Source organism: Homo sapiens, chromosome 17 (genome assembly GCF_000001405.40).
Source record: "Homo sapiens chromosome 17, GRCh38.p14 Primary Assembly".
Lineage (NCBI taxonomy): Eukaryota > Metazoa > Chordata > Mammalia > Primates > Hominidae > Homo > Homo sapiens.
In genome coordinates, this window is record NC_000017.11 from 36,023,592 (window position 1) to 36,042,512 (window position 18,921).

General features: G+C 42.7%; 1 long non-coding RNA gene across 1 annotated transcript; it reads right to left on the reverse strand.

The window, feature by feature from the left end:
• On the reverse strand, positions 14,232–17,236 carry LOC105371746 (uncharacterized). Its single transcript, XR_001752856.2, has 3 exons — positions 17,150–17,236; positions 14,455–14,545; positions 14,232–14,321 (listed from the first exon to the last, which is right to left on the reverse strand). It is a non-coding gene; the product is annotated as an uncharacterized LOC105371746 (long non-coding RNA).
• Between the last annotated feature and the right edge of the window lie 1,685 nt (positions 17,237–18,921).

Genomic DNA, 18,921 nt, shown 5'->3' on the forward strand with positions numbered 1-18,921 from the left:
ACTCCTGCAGCTTGCTCAGTGTCTACCCAAATGGCCGCCCAGTTTTGTGCTTGAAACCCAGGGCCCTGGTGGTGTAGGCACCCGTGAGAATCTCCTGGTCTGTGGGTTGCGAAGACCATGGGAAAAGCATAGTATCTGGGCCGGATAGCACTGTCCCTCACAGCACAGTCCCTCATGGCTTCCCTTGGCTAGGGGAGGGAGTTCCCTGACCCCTTGTGTAATTTATACAGACCTAGGGGGACTGAACAAAGGGGGTGAACGTGGGAATAAAAGACAAGAGACAAAAGAATATATTTAGTCAGGGGCCACTTTGCCTCTAGTGGACAAGGGCCCTGAGCTTTACATAGCCCTCCATCTTTATTAGGCAAAAGAGATAGTGAGAAGGGGGTTGGAAGAAGGGGTCAGCCGCTTGGTCCAGAGTAGGCTTGTAAGACTGTGTTGTGCTTCCAGGGTGAGGCAATGCCCCACCCTGCTCCTGCTCACCCTCCATGGGCTACACCCACCGTCCAACCAGTCCCAATGAGCTGAACTGGGTACCTCAGTTGGAAATGCAGAAATCACCTGCCTTCTGGGTTGGTCTCACTGGGAGCTGCAGACCAGAGCTGTTCCTATTCAGGCATCTTGCCTGGGAATCCTTGTGCATGATCTTAAATGGCCTATTACACGAGAAAAACTTTCTTCTTAAGTGATAAGGGGAATAACAGAGCCTGCCAACTCATCTTCTTGTTTCTTGTGTAAGACTGGGCCCAGGTCCTTTTTAGAGAAACAAAACCAATCCAAACAATGTCTCCTTAAAGAGGCCTGTAGCTAAAGTCTGCGCTATGCCATGCAATTGAAACTGCTCTAGGGTTGCACAGAGATGGAGTCCCTTAAATATCTTCTGACCATTCCTGTATACCAGCCACTGTATGTGTATTTGGTGATACCAAGTCAAATGAATTGGTTTCAGTTTTGCGCCAAATGTTTCTCCTAACTCACACTGGTTATCTGAAATTAGATCTTGGTTTAAATATTTAACTAATTCCTTCCTTTGATAGACTGTTTGCAAAAATGGGTGCAGTAATTCCTACCACCCAGTGTGCCTACCCTTGGGAAGTCCCTTCGCCTACTGAATCTGGTCTTTGCTATGTGACTGTCTTTGGACAATGAGACAATAGAAAATGTGATGAAAACAGAGGCCGGAAAAGTGCTGGTGCATTGATACTTGCATTATTAATATTTCACTGCTGAGAACTTTTATACCACCGCATGTGCCAGCCTATGCTAGCCTACCAAAGGAGGAGAGACCACAAGGAGAGAAAGGTCCCCAGACATCCCAGCTGTCCCAGCTGAGAGGTTATCCTAGGCCTTCAAACCCTGGCTGAGCTGGCTCAGACCGGGAGAACTACCCCTCCAACCTACAGAATTGTGAGAATAGCTGTTTGCTGTTTTAAGTCACTACATTTTGTGGTGATTTATGATGTAGCAAAAGCTAACTGATAATCCTCCTTTTGGGCCATAAGGATAGATTTATCTTTTTTATAAATTTGCTGAACGCAAAAGTAATAGTTCCTTATTCAAGAGGAGGCTTGTTGCTTTATTTTTAAAATTTTTTTGAAACAGGTTCTTCCTTTGTTCACCAGGGTGGAGTGCAGTGGCACAATCACGGCTCACTGCAGCCTTGACCTCCCAGGCTCAAGTGGTCCTCCCACCTTAGCCTCCCAAGTGGCCCGTACTGCAGGCATGCACCACCATGCTTGGCTAACTTAAAAATTTTTTTTTTTAGAAATGGGGTCCTGCTATGTTGCCCCCGGCTGGTTTTGAACTCCTGGGCTGAAGTGATCCTCCCACCTCCACCTCCCAAAGTGCTAGGATAACAGGTGTGAGCCACTGTGCCCGGCTGAGGCTTGTTGCTTTTAATTAAACTAGGTACTTGTTAGAGAAGGACTACATAAATCTTAGTAAAGATGCTTTATTCTAGTTAGGGTAGAGATAGAGGATTGAGGAAGTTTCTGCCATCCAGAGCTGTGGAGCCTTTGTGCCCATTGGAGATTTCAAGGGAGGTCCAGATGCATCCCTTTGGACTGGGATGAAGAGAAACATTTCTGAAAGGGATAGCATTTGATGCAGGTCTCAGAAATAGGACAGAGACTGTATACTGCTTCAAAAGGCAGGGAAGGGAGGAAGAAGATCCTAGTCAGCTGTAACTGCCAATAAGGATAGTAAATAGTTGCAATGAGATATGGGCTACTTACTGTTTTATGTTTTACAATTATTATATAATTAAATCTTAACTACAATCTTGTGAAATAGGCACAGTCATTAGCTCTTTTTCCAGATGAGGCTATGGAGACATACAGCAATAGAGTAATTTGCTAATATTTGCTATATGCCCACATGGGTAGTAAAGGGCAAAGCTGGCATTTGAACCAAGGTCTCTCTAATACTAGACCTCACTATTTAAGACAAAGGCATGGACATGATCAAATTGAGGCACATTTTGGATGTGTCTATAGTATACAAATAATGTACACATAAGCATGATCATTAATGTTTTTAAATTGGACTTTTTTATTTTGAGGTAATTGTAGATTCACATGCAATTGTAAGAAATAATACAGAGAGATCCTGGGTAGTGTACTCTTTACACAGTGTAAAAGTTGACCATACAATTGGGTCATTCTTGTCATACCCAACTAAAACAGAGTTGAGATGCCAGGGGGAGAAAACACTGAGGGCATATAACATTGGTCTAGGCCGGGCACAGTGGCCCACGCCTGTAATCCCAGCACTTTGGGAGGCCAAGGAGGGTGGATCACGAGGTCAGGAATTTCAGACCAGCCCAATAGACATGGTGAAACCCCGTCTCTACTAAAAATACAAAAATTAGCTGGGCATGGTGGCGGGTACCTGTAATCCCAGCTACTCAGGAGGCTGAGGCAGGAGAACTGCTTGAATCTGGGAGGCGGAGGTTGCAGTGAGCCGAGATCACGCCACTGCACTCCAGCCTGAGCGACAGAGCGAGACTGTCTCAAAAAAAAAAAAACAAAAACAAAAACAAAAAACCAACACTGGTCTAATAATGTAATTCTCTGCATGCAAGCCTGTCTGGGACATATAACATTGCTCCAAGAATGTAGTCCTCTGCAAGCCTGGCTGCTGAAGTTTCAGCCTGTGCTATCCTGAAACCCATTTTATCTAATAGTTACTGAAACAACCTGCTGTGGTTCTAAGACTAGTCTTACCCACTGCTATCACTCACCAATCACAACTTGCCAGTTTCCTAAAACTTTACTAGTGCCAATGAACTTTCTTGCAAAACAATATGTAACTTTTCTCTTTTTAATAAAACCTCTAGCTTACTCTTTGGTCTTTGGACATACTAAAGACTACCCAGACAGTATGTATGTCTTGAATTGTAATTCTTGCGTCCCAAATAAGACATTTTAAATTTAGAGATTCATCTCTATATTTTGTTTGACTTTGACACCAGTTTCTCCCAAAAGTGACATGTTGCAAAACGATAGTACAATATAGTAGAGGATATTGACATTGATATCATCAATATACAGAAAAGTTCCTTCACCACAAGGCTCCCTCATGTAACCCTTGTATAGCTACACTTATCTCCCTCCCACCCATCCCACCCCTTCCTCAATTCTTGGCAACCACGAATCTGTTCTCCATGTTTATAATCTTGTCATTTTATGAATGTTATGTAAATGGAATCATATGGTATGTCACCTCTTGGGATTGGCTTTATTCACTCAGCTGAATTCTCTGGAGATTCATTCAGGTTGTTGCATGTGCCAATAGTTCATTCTTTTTATTGCTGAATAGTATTCCATGATATGGTTGAACCACAGTTTGTTTAATCATTTATCCACTGAAGGACATCTGGGTGTTTCCAGTTTTGGGCTATTATAAATAATGCTGCAATAAACATTCATGTACTGCTTTGTTTATGTGAATGTAAGTCTTCATTCTCCAGGATAAATGCTCAAGGGTACGATTAACATTTAGCATGGCTATCAATACTTTAAGACAAGTTCTGTGATCAAGTATTTTCTTTTTAAGTAAAGTAGGGGGCATGTGTTTGTTTTTTTCAGCACCTTCCTTTCTTCTGGAAAGATGCCCTCTTCTTGGAGGAACTGCCCATGTAGCTATTAGGTTCTGTGAGGCTCTTGCCCATCACGGTACCTCCTCCTTTGCAATAGATGTGCACCTACCTCCCCAGTCAGACAACTGGGGTCCTTCCCAGGGATTTTTCAGATTTTAATGACAGAAAAGCAGCAGCTCCTTCAGGAAGTGGAGGTCCTGTGGTCTGCCTTCAGAAGAGCAATGCCATTGATACCAGGATCCTGTGGAACTGCATGCCCTGGGGCTGGTTTTCCCTGAGCTGTACGCCTGCCATCCACTCTGAATTTATGAGCTAATAAACTATTTCTGGTTTTGCTCGAGGAAATTTTGAGAGAGCTTTCTGTCACATAAGACTCAAAGTATAAAGAATCTTTCATTCCCCACTCCTGGGCTCTTTCTGGCTTCGTGCTCATGGTTCTGACTCTCCTCTCCTTCAGTTCTGAGGTCCCAACTGTCAGGGCCCAAAGAAACCGCTCAAGTTCTTGCTGTGTCCAGCACAATTTTCATGGAACAGCCCTTGGTGTTTTCTCCAAGGCTCTGATACCAAATCTACACTGAGACCTGGAGCCTATGGCTTCCTTGGGCCCCCAGAGGGCTGGGAGTCATAATTTGGCACAATGAGTGAGAGCTGAGAGAAAGTGGGCCTGGGATTAAATCCTGGGCAGAGAAATTCCCAAGGGCTGGCAGAGGTGAGGGGATGGGGTAGGAGCCTTGGGCTCTGCTCCTGCTGCATCCTGAACTGGGATACCTCAACTGCAGTGTGGCGACTGTGCTGTGAGCTCTAGATCACGGCTGGCATCATGGGCGTGTGACCTGTGCAATTACACAGGTCCTTGCTCTTGGTTTCAGGCTCTGCTGCCGTTGTTGTTTAGGAGTTAGTAGTTTTTTAACAAGGGGCCTAACACTTTCATTTTTCACTGGGTCTTGTGTAGTCATGGCTTCAGGCACTGTGGAGTTGTCACTAATGTACTGCACCCTTTGGATGATGAAGATGAGGCACAAGAGGCTGAGGAGTTGAGACTCTGTACAAGTTCCTACCTTCCCCATGGAATCCTGGAGACTTCTGGCTTTGGGCAAGTCTCCTTTCCGAGGGGTTGCTCCCTATTCCCCAGGACCCTATACACACCTGAGCCAGTGTCCTCCACGGTGATTCATGCGATCCTTTCAGGCAGTTCCCTCTTTCTTCTTCTTTGTCCCAGACTTGGCCCCTCTCTACCCACTGGGACCACCTCCTCCATCTCTTTGAAGGCTCAGCCCAGGCCAAAAGGTGCTCAGCTTCTCTCTGTGTCTGCACACCTGATAGGTGTCCAGAAGTCTTCCTCTCCCTTGGGAAGTACCCAGCCTTCCTCCTCTTTTCAGGCCCTGCTAGCTTTTTTCACCCCTGAGGTCAGCAGTTGGAACCCAAGTTCCCCAAGGTCAGTGGTTGGAGCCCAAGTTTGCCTGACTCTAAAGCCTGTGATTGTCTTATTATATCTTGCTCTTCTTGTTACAACAGTGATTATTTTAACAATCATTATCATTTATTAAGTGCTTACTATGGGCAGGTCAGGACCAGATGGTGGTAAATGAGGCACTAGCCTTGCGCTTGTGTTGAAAACCCAAGGGGACACCAAAAAGTTCAGTAGTAAAAATAAGTAATATTTTAGTGAACTATTTAAAAAATCAAAATTACTACTGAAAAAATCACAATGAACAAAACACAAAAACACTTAAATAAAGACAGGATCGGTAACAGTGCTGTGCCGAGCCATATTGGAACTTGAGGAAAAAGGTAAAATCAATGGGAGCTTCCTGTTAGAATATCCACCCATCCATCTGTCCATTCATCAATATGTCCATCCATCTATCCATACATCTGTCCATCCATCCATCCATCTCCCATCCATCCATCCATCCATCTGTCCCTCTGTCCATCTGTTCATCCACCCATCCACCTCTCATCCATCCATCTGTCCATCCATCCATCCATCCATCCATCCATCCATCCGTCCATCCATTTAATATAAATTTACTGAGCATCTACCACGTGCTGGGCATTCTGCTCAGCACCAAGAGTATCACACAAAGAGCCAAAAAGATTATGTTCCTTTCCTCCTGGAGACAAAATTAAATAATCACACAAATAAACATGTACTTATACACTGTGATAAGCAACACCATGGAAAAGAATATATTGGGGGCCCAGAGAATGCCTCTCTGAGAAAGTAGCATTTAAGCTGAGAATTATAAAATGAGCAATGTTTGCTAAGTTGACAAGTGAGGAAAAGGGAGACAAAGGTAAGGGAAGTAGTTTGTGCAAAAGTCTTGAGGCAGGAGGTACTAGCACATATCAGGGACTGGTTGGTATTAGTTGAGAGCAACTAGAAAAATCATGGGTCCTGCCTTGAGTTTTATACAAGGGCAGAGGAAGAACCAGCCCTCAAAATTAAAGACACAACGGGAGACCAAAATGAAAGCTGCTATATAGTTTCCCCCCAAAGTTGTCCTCGTTCAAGCTATCAGTGACACATACGCAGGGGCTGTTGATTTATGCCTATCATGAGGCATCTGCCTCTCTTCCTGGGAGTGTGAGACTCATGCCAAAAGCTTAGCGGTGGTCTGCAGTGGCCTCATCTAGGGCTGCTCCTGGGAATGCACTGGAAAGAGAAGCCCCCTTCGAGGCTTCTCTGGGTTCATTTCCTTTAAATCCAAAGCCCTTCTTTGGGTTCATTTCCTTTAAAGCATGGCCAGGTCAGCTTCAGGCTATAAGATATGATGAAGTTTCTCTTCAAATAGCCTAATCAATCCTTTATTCTTTAATAGTACCTCCCCACCCCTTTTTCCTTTTTGTCTTTTTTTCTTCCTTTCTGCCTTTGTTACATGCCCAGACACGCCACAATACCAGGTGTTAGCAGTACCAGCTCACATTCCTTTCCTTATTAAAAAAAAAAAGACTAACTCTCTAGCTCATTACAGACACCCCTTCCCCTTTCCCCTCTCTCTCTTACATGCCCACCTTATCTGAAACAAAAAAGTTCAAATATTTAGCCAAACAGAATTAGTTTAAAGCGTACAACCCAATCCTGGCCAATGAAAAAAAAAAATACAAAAGCAAGACTTGCGTCAGAAATAAAGGCTTTCATGCCCCTTTATTCAAGTGTGCTCCCATGGCGACTGGCCAAGGAGAAACACCCCTCTGCGCAAAAGTAAAATTGCTTTGCTAAAAATCCTTTGTTTAAGTGTTCAATTTCCTTAGAATTTTAAATATTATTCCCAAAAAGGCCTTAGCATCATCTTAAGCAGTCACAAACAGACCTGTCAAATTCCTACCAACCTTTTCTTTCCTCTTCTTTTCTTTGCCCTGACATTTCCTGTATTTGGGCCTCTGAAGATTCAAAGAATAGAGTCCCTAACTTACCCAGCCCATCCCTGCCTTGAGTTGGTCTTTGACCCTTTAATAACTGCGCCCTTCCATTTAAAAGTAAAATATTTCCTTGTTAAGAAGACATGTGGTTGGATTATTGCTTCTGCTTTTCACAAAGCCATAGAGTAAAAGCCAAGCCTCAGGATCTGGAGAGGAGGGATGAGGTTGAATTTTATGATCTATACTTCTCTCTTGGCAGCCAGGCAGGATTTGAGGGAGCAGGACCCTGTTAGAGATGAGGCAACCCAGGGAGCTGGAAAGAATATGGTGACTGCCTGGACACATGGAAAGGAATACTGCATAGGCTCTGCCACTGGGTTAACTGTAGTTGGGATTGAAATTTACAAAATAGCCCTGAGTGTCTGCCATACCAGGCAATGAGGGACAGAGGACAAGTGAGCAGCATCCCTCTGCCCCCTGCACTCATGCGTCCATCAATAAGTTGGTTCTTTCTAAAGAATATCTGCAATCTGTTGCCTCCTCTCCATTCTCAGTGCCCCTGCCTTAGTTCAGTCTTTTACCTGGACTATTGCAATGGTCTCCTAATTGGTCCCCCTGCTTCCCTTCTTGCTCCCCTCAAACCCGTTCTCTGTCCTGAAGCCAGAGTACTCTTTCTAAAACCCAAATCAGGCCATGCCCATCTACTGACAACCTTTGGCTTACAAGGCTCTGACAGGTCTACTGTTCTCGCTGAACTTCCAGTCCCACTGGCCTTCTTTTCATTAGGCAAACACAATCACCCCAGGGCCTTTGCCTTTTCTGGTTTCTCTGCCTGGATGCTTTCCTACCTCTGGCTTGTTTTATGGCTGAATCTTCCTCATCTTGTAGGGCTCAGATTAATTGTCACCTTCTTAGAGAGGCCTCCTCTGACCTTTCCTAAAGAACCCACACACCATAGCCTGTTTTAGGTCTTTCAAAGCATTGGTTACCATTGGAAATTACTTTGTATACTTGTTCGCTTGAGGATCATTTCCCCCTTTCCCATTCCACCCCCTAGAATGTAAGCTCCTGAGGGCTGGGATGGTACATGTCTAGGTTACCCCAGTATCTGGCACTGGGAGCAGTGCCCAATAAATGTGGAATGAGGGTGTCACAGGCTGTGGTGTGTCAGAGGAGGTGGAGATGGGCCACTTTGGTCTGGGAGGATCGGAGAAGATGTAGCATTTGACAGAAATCTTGAAAAGCAGACAGAGAAAGCAGGAGAGAGAAAGCAGAAGAGAAAGTGGAGTTTGCAAACTCCATGGATAGAAAGAACCATGAGAGACAAATGCCTAGAAGTAAGAAATCCATATTTGGGTTTGCGGTTTGGCCATACAATCTAACTTTCAAGGAGCAGATCTATATCTAATATGCTGCATATTATTTCAAGGCCACCCAAAGTCCATATATAGGGGCCCTAGTCCCCACCTCATGGGTCCTTCTAAGCTTTTTGCTTCACGTGCCAACTCCCTCCTCTCCAGCCTGACTTGCTGGAGTCCAGTGATCCAGCTGGGTCCAATACAGCTTTCTTCCAATATCCTTCTTTACTTTCTCCAAAGCTCAAGTAACATGTTCACAAGTCAATGTCTAATATTGCTACCAACAGCTCACTGGGTCCCTGAGCCTCCACATACCCCAAAGAGGGTGTCAGAGCCAAGCTTCAGAATAGAATGGAATTCAGCACAGTGGAGGAGATCAGGAAAAAACTGTCATTGGGGATTAATCTCAGGGCAGGACAGCTACCATGCAGTGGCGGGGGCTGTGGGATTAGCGGTTGGCCATGACTAGATCCTTTCTCTCCATGCTCAGAGTGTTTCAGCTCATCCAATTAACCCTGAACTAATGTTTACCTCAAACCCAAGCAGGCGAGACATTTACTTGTGTCTAAATTATGAGTCAAGGGGTAGAAGGATCAAAAATGGAGGAATGCAAAAGCTGAGGAGGGATCATCCCATCTTTCTTCCATTCTCTGGTAAATTTGGGGGCTTTTGTCTCCTTCCCGAAGGATGAGCTCCAACCAGGGTCAGAGCAAGACCTGAGTGGTCCTAGGCTCTAAAAAGGTTATTCTGTGTTTCAGCATGTAATTTCAAATACCCAATACTAACTGAAAAGTAATGATAAGACTGTATAAGGGACTTTTGATTTTTTTAAATAATAGCCACTTTGATCACTGTGTACATGCATGAAGTTGCAAATATTGTATTCTTTCAAAAGCATTATTTGTTGATTTCCTAAGCACCTGCCGGTTGCCTATTGGGCAATGCAGCACTGATTCCATTCACTTGGACTCCCAAGTCCACCCCACCCCACTTCTAGCAGCCTCCTTTCAGCCTTCTCCTTCCCTTCCCCACCATGCTGCTCCATTTACTGGGAACTGCTTCCACCTGGAAGACTCCAGCCCAGGCCAGAAAGCCCCCAGGCTGGCCCTCTACTGCCTCTCCCTGTGTCTGCAACACCTGGCAGGTGCTCTGACGGTTGGTGCTTCTCTCAACAGTCTCCATCCCACTGAGTCTGATTAATGGAGTGAGACTCACAGGGTGGTGGGTTTGGGACACACTTCATGAATTAGACAGATAATAATGTATCACATACTTGCATGGGATCCTCCAGGTGATGTAGCAGCACTTACTGATGTTGTCATTCATATCTGGAAAGAAGCAGGTGGAAGTAGGGCTAAGCCATGCTCTAGGAGACTCAGACATGCTACTCCGTGCACCAAGAATGGGAGGCAATGCCTTTCACTCAGACAAGAAACACACCTAAAGCCAAAATACTAAATTACCTACAGCCACTGGAATCTGCCATTTCTCTTGTGTAAGTTGTTCATCATCATTGAATAATAAACCCACTCACACTTTATCCCTACCAGGAACCTCACTCTCGCTTGACCAAATCCACTATCCTTTTTTTTGTGTAGGAGAAAAAATAAGGATCTTTATTTGTGAAGGAGTTAAGAATATGCCGCCCAAAATTCACTGTTCTGGCATATTTTAAATTAAAGGCATGTAAAAAAAGAACCCAGCAGGTGCAAGAAGATCCTTCTTTATTTTGACCTTTATTGTCTTTATCAAAGGCAGGAAATGAAATGCCCATGTGAAAGATGTCCTCCTTATACCGAAAGAAAAATAATATTCTTATTAAGGATGGGAAGCTGAAGCCGAGAGAAGTCTACACAAACAAACCTTATCACCTTAGTCATTTCTGTACCCAATTAATCACCCAGCGCAGCCCCTTTGCCTTATCACATTTCACAACTTCCTATTTTTTGTCCAATTCAGTGTATAAGTAACTGACCCTAACTGCTTCTTTGAGTTTCTGTTCCTTATGAGGGATCTTGTGTCATGTAAAACTTGTATTAACTAAATTTGTGTACTTTTCTCCTATTAATCTATCATATGTCAATTTAATTCTTGAGTCCAGGTGGGATCTTAAGAAAATGGAGATGGATTTTTGCCTCTCCTAAGTTTGGTAGGTGCTTTCTATATAATGTGTTATTTAATTCTCCCCTAAACTCTAAGAGGTTGATGTTCTTGTTCCATTAGGAACATAAACTTGGCAAGCCTTGGTAAGGTTAAGGAACTTGTTGGCGTTAACCCATTGTTAAGTGGCTGAGACCTGAAACCGGGATGTCAATTCCAAGTCCCAAGACTTAACTTCTTCACCAACATTACTAACTCGTTTGGCTGCAAGTGTCATTTACCCTCTGAATGAGTTTCCACACCTGTGAAGAGGAGATTGATGCTTTCTCTCTGGCAGGGTAGTTGTGAGATTAGAAATAATGTATGTAAAGCACAAACCTGGCATGACTACCATTTTTATTAAGCATTTATTCTGTGCCAGGTGGTGTTCTATGAGCTTAAATGTATGTATTAATTAATTTAACCATCACAACAAACTTGCATTGTAGATGTTATTATCATCTCCATTTTATAGAGAAGCAAACCAAGGCATAGAGAAATTAGGTAACCTGTGAAAGCCACATGGGAGAATAAGTGATAGCTATTATTTTCAAAATTGTGATTTCCCATGCATCAAGCCCTTTCTTTGTCCTTCCTTGAGAGCCTCTCTCCTTAATTTAAGCTACCAGGGAAGGAGCAGCCCAAGAACTAGCCCATTCTGGCTCTTGCTTTTTTCACGGGAGGTTTTACTTTGCTTTTTTTTTTTTTTTTTTTTTTTTTTTAGGTAGGGCCTTGTTCTGTCATTCAGGCTGGAGTGCAGTGGCACAATTATGGCTCACTCCAGCCTAGACCACCTGGGCTCAAGCAATCCTCCCACCTCAGCCTCCTGAGTAGCTGAGACTACAGGAGTGCACCAGTATGTCTGGCTAATTTTTAAAATTTTGTAGTAGAGATGAGGTGTTACTATGTTTCCCAGGCTGGTTGTGAACTCCTAGGCTCGAGTGATCCTCCTGCCTCGGCCTCCCAAAGTGCTGGGATTACAGGCATAAGCCACCACGCCCAGACCTGTTCCACCTTGATTATTCTGTTTCTAGCCCAGTCTCAGGGCACCCTCATGAATCTCACATAGAGTTAATGTTTAGAAATTACCCGATATTGAATTACAACTTTATGACTCCAAATATTGATTTTGAAGATAATAAAACTGTTTAAGTTACAATAATGATGAGGAAATAATTTTTTCAGGTCATAAAGAATCTTTTGTTTTTATGGTAACTTTTTATTTTAAAATAACTTTACACTGACATAGAAATTGCAGAAATAGTACATAAAGTTTCTGTGCAATCTTGACTCAGCTTCCCCCAATGGGAAGCTTATAAAACTTCATATACAACCGTATAAAAAATGCATTATGATCATCAAAACTAGAAAATTGACAGTTCTACAATATCATTATCATTATTATTTTTTGAGACAGAGTCTTGCTCTGTCACCCAGGCTGGAGTGCAGTGGCACCATCTTGGCTCACTGCAACCTCCGTCTCCTGGGTTCAAGTGATTCTTCTGCTTCAGCCTCCTGAGTAGCTGGGATTACAGGTGCTCACCGCCATGCTTGGCTAATTTTTGTATTTTTAGTAGATATGGGGTTTCTCCATGTTGACCAGGCTGGTCTTGAACCCCTGACCTCAAGTGATCCGCCTGCCTCAGCCTCCCAAAGTGCTGGGATTACAGGCATGAGCCACTGCGCCCAACCAGCCATCGTGCCCGGCCTCTACAATATTATCAACAAAACAGATCTTATTAAAATTTTACCAATTTTTACATGCAGTCATTTTTCGTTGGTGTATAGTTGAATCATATGATCCCTTGGGTGTCTATGCCAACTTCTGGCCTCCCACATCTAAGTTACTGAATCATCTGCCTCCCATGTTTTGGTAAATAACATTCACCCTCCTCCCAGAGCTGCGGTCTTGCTTGACTGGCCCCACTTCCCCTATTCAAAGGAGAAAGGCTGGAGTTGCAGAAGGAGGCATGGGGAGAATTATGGCTTTATTTTTTATTAGACTATTCTTATTTTAGTAAAGTTGTTTTTGCACACTGGCTCATGCAGCAGTGTATATAGTTATGTGCCACATAATGATGTTTTTATCAATGACAGACTACATATATGACACTTAACAACATGCATATGTTCTGAGAAATGCTTTGTTAGGCAATTTCATCATTATACAGACATCATGTACTTACACAAACCTAGATGGTGTAGCCTACTACACATCTTATTATAAGATTATAATACCATAATTTGTTCAGCAGCAATACATTAAACAAAAATTATGCTACCTTATTTTTACTGTACCTTTTCTATGTTTAGGTATGTTTAGGTACACAAATACTCACCACTGTGTTACAACTGCCTACAGTATTCTGTACAGTAGCATGCTGCACAGGTTTGTAGCCTAGGAGCAATTGCTGTACCATATAGGTGTGTGGCAGGCTCCACCATCTAGGTTTGTGTAAGTATGTGATGTCTGTACAATGAAATTGTCTAATGAAGCATTTCTCAAAACCTATGCCCATCGTTAAGCAACATACGACTGTATCTGTTTCCTGAATTTAATTGTTTCCCCGGCTGATTCCAGAGTATTTTCTATTGACCATTGACTATGAGGCCCTCTGTCTACACCCTTCCCCAGATGTTCATTGCTTCCAGAGAAGGAAATGGGGTTGGTCCAGCTTGATTCGGCCTAACTGCACCATGCTGACTTGCAGTGACTACTTCCTTTCTGAAGTGCCAACAAGAGGTTTTTTAAAATAAGAATTATAGGCCGGGCATGGTGGCTCACACCTGTAATCCCAGCACTTTGGGAGGCCGAGGCAGGCGGATCACGAGGTCAGGAAATCAAGACCATCCTGGCTAACAGAGTGAAACCCCGTCTCTATTAAAAATACAAAAAAATTAGCTGGGCATGGTGGCGGGCGCCTATAGTCCCAGCTACTGGGGAGGCTGAGGCAGGAGAATGGCGTGAACCCGGGAGGCGGAGCTTGCAGTGAGCCGAGATCGCACCACTGCACTCCAGCCTGGGCGACAGAGTGAGACTCCGTTTCAAAAAAAAAAAAAAAAAAAGAATTGTATAGGTATATGTAGAATCTTGACTAGTCTAGAGGCAGCTGACCACTCTGAAGTTGATGGAGTCTATCGTCTATTTTCTTTCTCCCTCCTTTTTTGGAAAGCTGGGTGCTATTTTCTCATCTTCAATATTCCACAACCTGTCTGCCTCCCAAGAATCTGCAAAGATCATCAATCTCTACCATGTGTTTTCTCAGCTGATAGAGAGGACTTCATCCAAGTCAAGGGACTGAGAAGCCACCCATCTTGGGCTTCGATTTCTTCGTATCTTTGGGAATTATCCCCATTCTAGCCTATAATGGACAGAGAATGAATGAATAAAAATTGGAGACCACATGTTCTGCTTTATCCCTTCCATCTGTTCAGTTAACACTCTTTATTCATTTACTCATTCATTTATTCTGTAAATATGTATTGAATACATACCATGAGCAGAGCACTGGAGATTCAGCTGCAAACAAGATGCATAGGGCCTTCTGTGAGTTTAAGCAAACAGTAAGCCTCTGGCACCTTCTTCCTAAAGTAAAACAAAGCAAACACTTTTACCATCATTCACTATTAAAAAAGCAACACTATGGAAAAATTTTGAAAATATTTAAGCAAAAAGAAGTCAGCAAAAATCCCCTGTGATCCCACAATAACATTCTTAGATGTGTCTTCATCTTTTTTCCCTGTTTGCTTTCTCCCTACGTGGGATCATACCAAAAAAAGTCATATTCCATGTTTTCACAAGTTGTGTACAATTTCAATTTCATTGTAAAATTCTTATATGCAATTTAAAATAATTTTTAACAAAAAAGATGCCTGCTTTTTAACAGAATTTTTAAGAAAATCAAATAAATGAAAAAAATCTCTTTACTATCAATATTTTGATGTGTAAGTTTCAAGTCATGTTTTTGTATGTAGTCATTATGTATAATACAGATATACAGTTAAACAAAAATGAGGTAATAATAACTGTTCTTTTCTACAGCCTGATTTTTACAGGTTTTTTTTTTTTGAGACGGAGTTTCACTCTTGTTGCCCAGGCTGGAGTGCAATGGCGCGATCTTGGCTCACCACAACCTCCGCCTACCGGGTTCAAGTGATTCTCCTGCCTCAGCTTCCTGAGTAGCTGGGATTACAGGCATGCATCACCACACCTGGCTAATTTTGTATTTTTAGTAGAGACGGGGTTTCTTCATGTTGGTCAGGCTGGTCTCGAACTCTCGACCTCAGGTCATCCGCCCTCCTCGGCCTCCCAAAGTGCTGGGATTACAGGTGTGAGCCACTGCGTCTGGCTAGCTTTTTTTTTTAATTATTTTTTTTGAGATGGAGTTTCGCTCTTGTTGCCCAGGCTGGAGTGCAATGGCACGATCTCGGCTCACTGCAATCTCTGCCTCCTGGGTTCAAGTGATTCCCCTGCCTCAGCCTCCCGAGGAGCTGGGATTACAGGCATCTCACACCACGCCTGCTAATTTTTATATTTTTAGTAGAGATAGGGTTTCACCATGTTGGCCAGGCTGCTCTCAAATCCCTGACCTCAGGTGATCTGCCCACCTTGGCCTCCCAAAGTGCTGAGATTATAGGTGTGAGCCACCATGCCTCGCCCATAGTTTTATTTATATATTTGTTTATATATATATATAAATATTATTTATATATTTGTTTATATATATATAAATATTATTTATATATTTGTTTATATATATATAAATATTGTTTATATATATATTTATATATAATATATATTTTTATTTATATATTATATATAAATATATATAGAATATATATATAATATTTATTTATATATAATATATATGTATTTTAAATTATATATAATATATATTTTGATATTAACTAGGCATAAAATATGGACTGAGAATAAAGAGTAGCAATACAACAAGCATCCCTGTACCCGATGCCTGGGATGGTCCCTGAGTGGTCATTTCCACAGAGTGATCTCTCTCCTGAATAATGTTTATAATATACTCTTGCCTTTCTGATCATTTCACCATATAGATTTGAATATTAATATATTTAACTTTGTATGTTTTTAAACTTCATTTCATTTTTTTGAGACAGGATCTCACTCTGTCACCCAGGCCGAGGGCAGTGGCACGATCATGGCTCACTGCAGCCTCGACCTCCCTGAAATCAAGAGATCCTCCCACCTCATCCTCGCAAGTAGCTGGGACTACAAGTATGTGCCACCATGCCTGGCTGGTTTTTGTATTATTTTTGTAGAGATGGGTTTTCATCATGTTGTCCAGGCTGGTCTTGAACTCCTGGGCTCAAGCGATTCGCCCACCTCGGCCTCCCAACGTGTTCGAACTGCAGGTGTGAGCCACTGCTCTGGGCTGTTTTCAAACTTACATAAATGGAATTATTATATGTTTTATTCCATAGCTTTTTTTCCCTCTCAACATTATGCTCCTGAGATTCACACTATTTACTATATGTAGCTGTAATGTGCTTGCTTTCGTTCCTGGTAATATTTTGGTTTATGAACATACCGTGATTTATTTTCCATTTGCCCCTTTTATTTTTGCTAGTGCCAACAGCACTGATTGGAGTATTCTTGTGTATGTTTCCTGCTGTGAACGTGCAAGGGTAACTGTGGCTCTCTCTAGGAGTGTGACTGCTAGGTCATCGGCCATGCACACCTTTGCTGCAACAAGATGACAATGGTATTTTCCAAGGTGGGAGGACAAATTCACACTCCCTGCAGCAGTGTGTGCATGTCAGTTGCTCCACATCTTCACTAATATGAATACTTTTCAAACTAGTGTTTATTAAATTTGGAGCTAGAGAGACAGGGAGACAAGGAGACAGGGAGGGAGGAAGTTAGGAAGGGAGGAAGTGAGGAAGCAAGGAAGAAAGAAAGAGAGGAATATTTTATTCTTTCAAAGCCTGAACCCAGCACTGGCTACTCATAGTCAATAAATATGTGCTGGTTTGATGAATTTCTTACAATGTCTGCCTAGATAGCTCATTGCAGCCATGAAATGGAGTCAATCCCTTTGTGACTGAAGGGGAAAGGTGGAGGGAGACAAGAGAAGGCCATCTGACTTCCCAGAACATTTAGTAAACAACACAATTCACAATCAAAAAGGGATTATAAGTAAAATAGCATACGTACATTTAAAATGAAGTTAGACCCCCAGATCTGGAATCAGTTTCTGAGGTTGCAGAGACTTTTGCCTGTTTTGGGTCCCTGTGCCCAATCTGTTCACATCTCTAGCACTTTTCTTGCTGGGTCCAGACCTTGCCGGGGTTTAATTCCAGTTGCTGATGTATTCCTGGACCCACACCTTGCTGGAGTTGGCATAGACCTTTCCAGTCTCCTCTGTGGAGGAAGCAATGGTAAGAGAGAGAAGTGAATAAAGAAGAGACAATCCTGCAGCAGAATGCCTGTAACCTCCCCATGTTTCTCTACCCTGGGGATCTCAGAGACAGTTTATTTTCAGAGCCAGGAGCATCCCGCAAATCCCAAGACCTAGACGATGATGATGATGATGATGATGATGATGATGATGATGATGATGATGATATTATTATTTTTGAGAAGGAGTCTTGCTCTGTCGCCCAGGCTGGAGTGCAGTGGCGCTATCTCGGCTCACTGCAAGCTCTGCCTCCCGGGTTCACGCCATTCTGTCTCAGCCTCCGGGGTAGCTGGGACTACAGGCGCCCGCCACCATGTCCGGCTAATTTTTTGTATTTTTTTAGTAGAGACGGGGTTTCACCGTGTTAGCCAGGATGGTCTCGATCTCCTGACCTCGTGATCCGCCCGCCTCGGCCTCCCAAAGTGCTGGGATTACAGGCGTGAGCCACCGCGCCCAGCCCCAAGACCTAGATTTTTTAAAAAATTGTTCATGAGTTTCTTCTCGGGTTGACTTCCCTCTGCTATCCTTTCCTTTCCTCTTCTCTGCATGAAGGTGGCTCTTCCTTGGCTCCCTACAGGCTGTGGGTCCATGCAGAAAACACCACAGGGACCTATCCCTATGTCCTGCATGTCTAATGAGTTCCTGGAGGTCTGGGTGTCCCAGGTTCCCCCTCCATCTCTTGAGTCTTGGGGGCTGTGTGTCCCTCCATGTCTCTCCCCTACGAGTGGCAAGAGGGCTACACCTACATGCTGAGAGCATCCACTGCTGGTCTCTAATGCAAATTTGTGAATAACCTACTGGAAAATGTTTGAGAAGCAGCAAGAGTTTATTAATTTTATCAATCTTTCCAATGACTCATTTTGACTTTGATGATTTTCTTTTTCTTAGTCTGTTTTCTGTTTCAGTGAATAACAATCTTATTATTTTCTTTCTTCTGTTTCCTTTGGGTTCAGTTTCCTCAACTCTTCCTAGCTTCTTAAGGTGGAAGCTTCATTCTTTTATTTTACACCTTTCTTCTTTTTGAATAGAAGCATTGAACGCTACAGATTCTCTTCTAAGTGCTGCTTCAGCTTCATAATGCCGTAGTTTTTCATGTGACAGGTTTTCATCATTCAGTTATTTTCTAATTTCCCTTGTGATTTCATCTTTGTCCCACAGATTATTTAGAATTACATTCTTTATTTGCAAATATTTGGGGGGGGGTTAAATATCTTCTTGTTATTGATTTCTAATCAAATTCCATTATAGTCAGAGAATATACTCGGTATTATTTTGATTCTTGAACATTTACTGAGACTTGTTTCTTGGGCCAGCATACAGTGTGTCTTGGTGAATTTTCCATGTGTATATGAAAAAGTATGTATTTTTCACTTGTTGGATGTAATAACCTATAAATGTCGGTTAGGTCCATTTGGTTCATTGTGTTAAGATTTACATATCCTTATTGATTTCTGTTTATTTAGCAGTTACTAAGAGTTGGGTACTAAAATCTCCAGATATGATTGGGAAGTTTTTGTTTCTCCCTTTA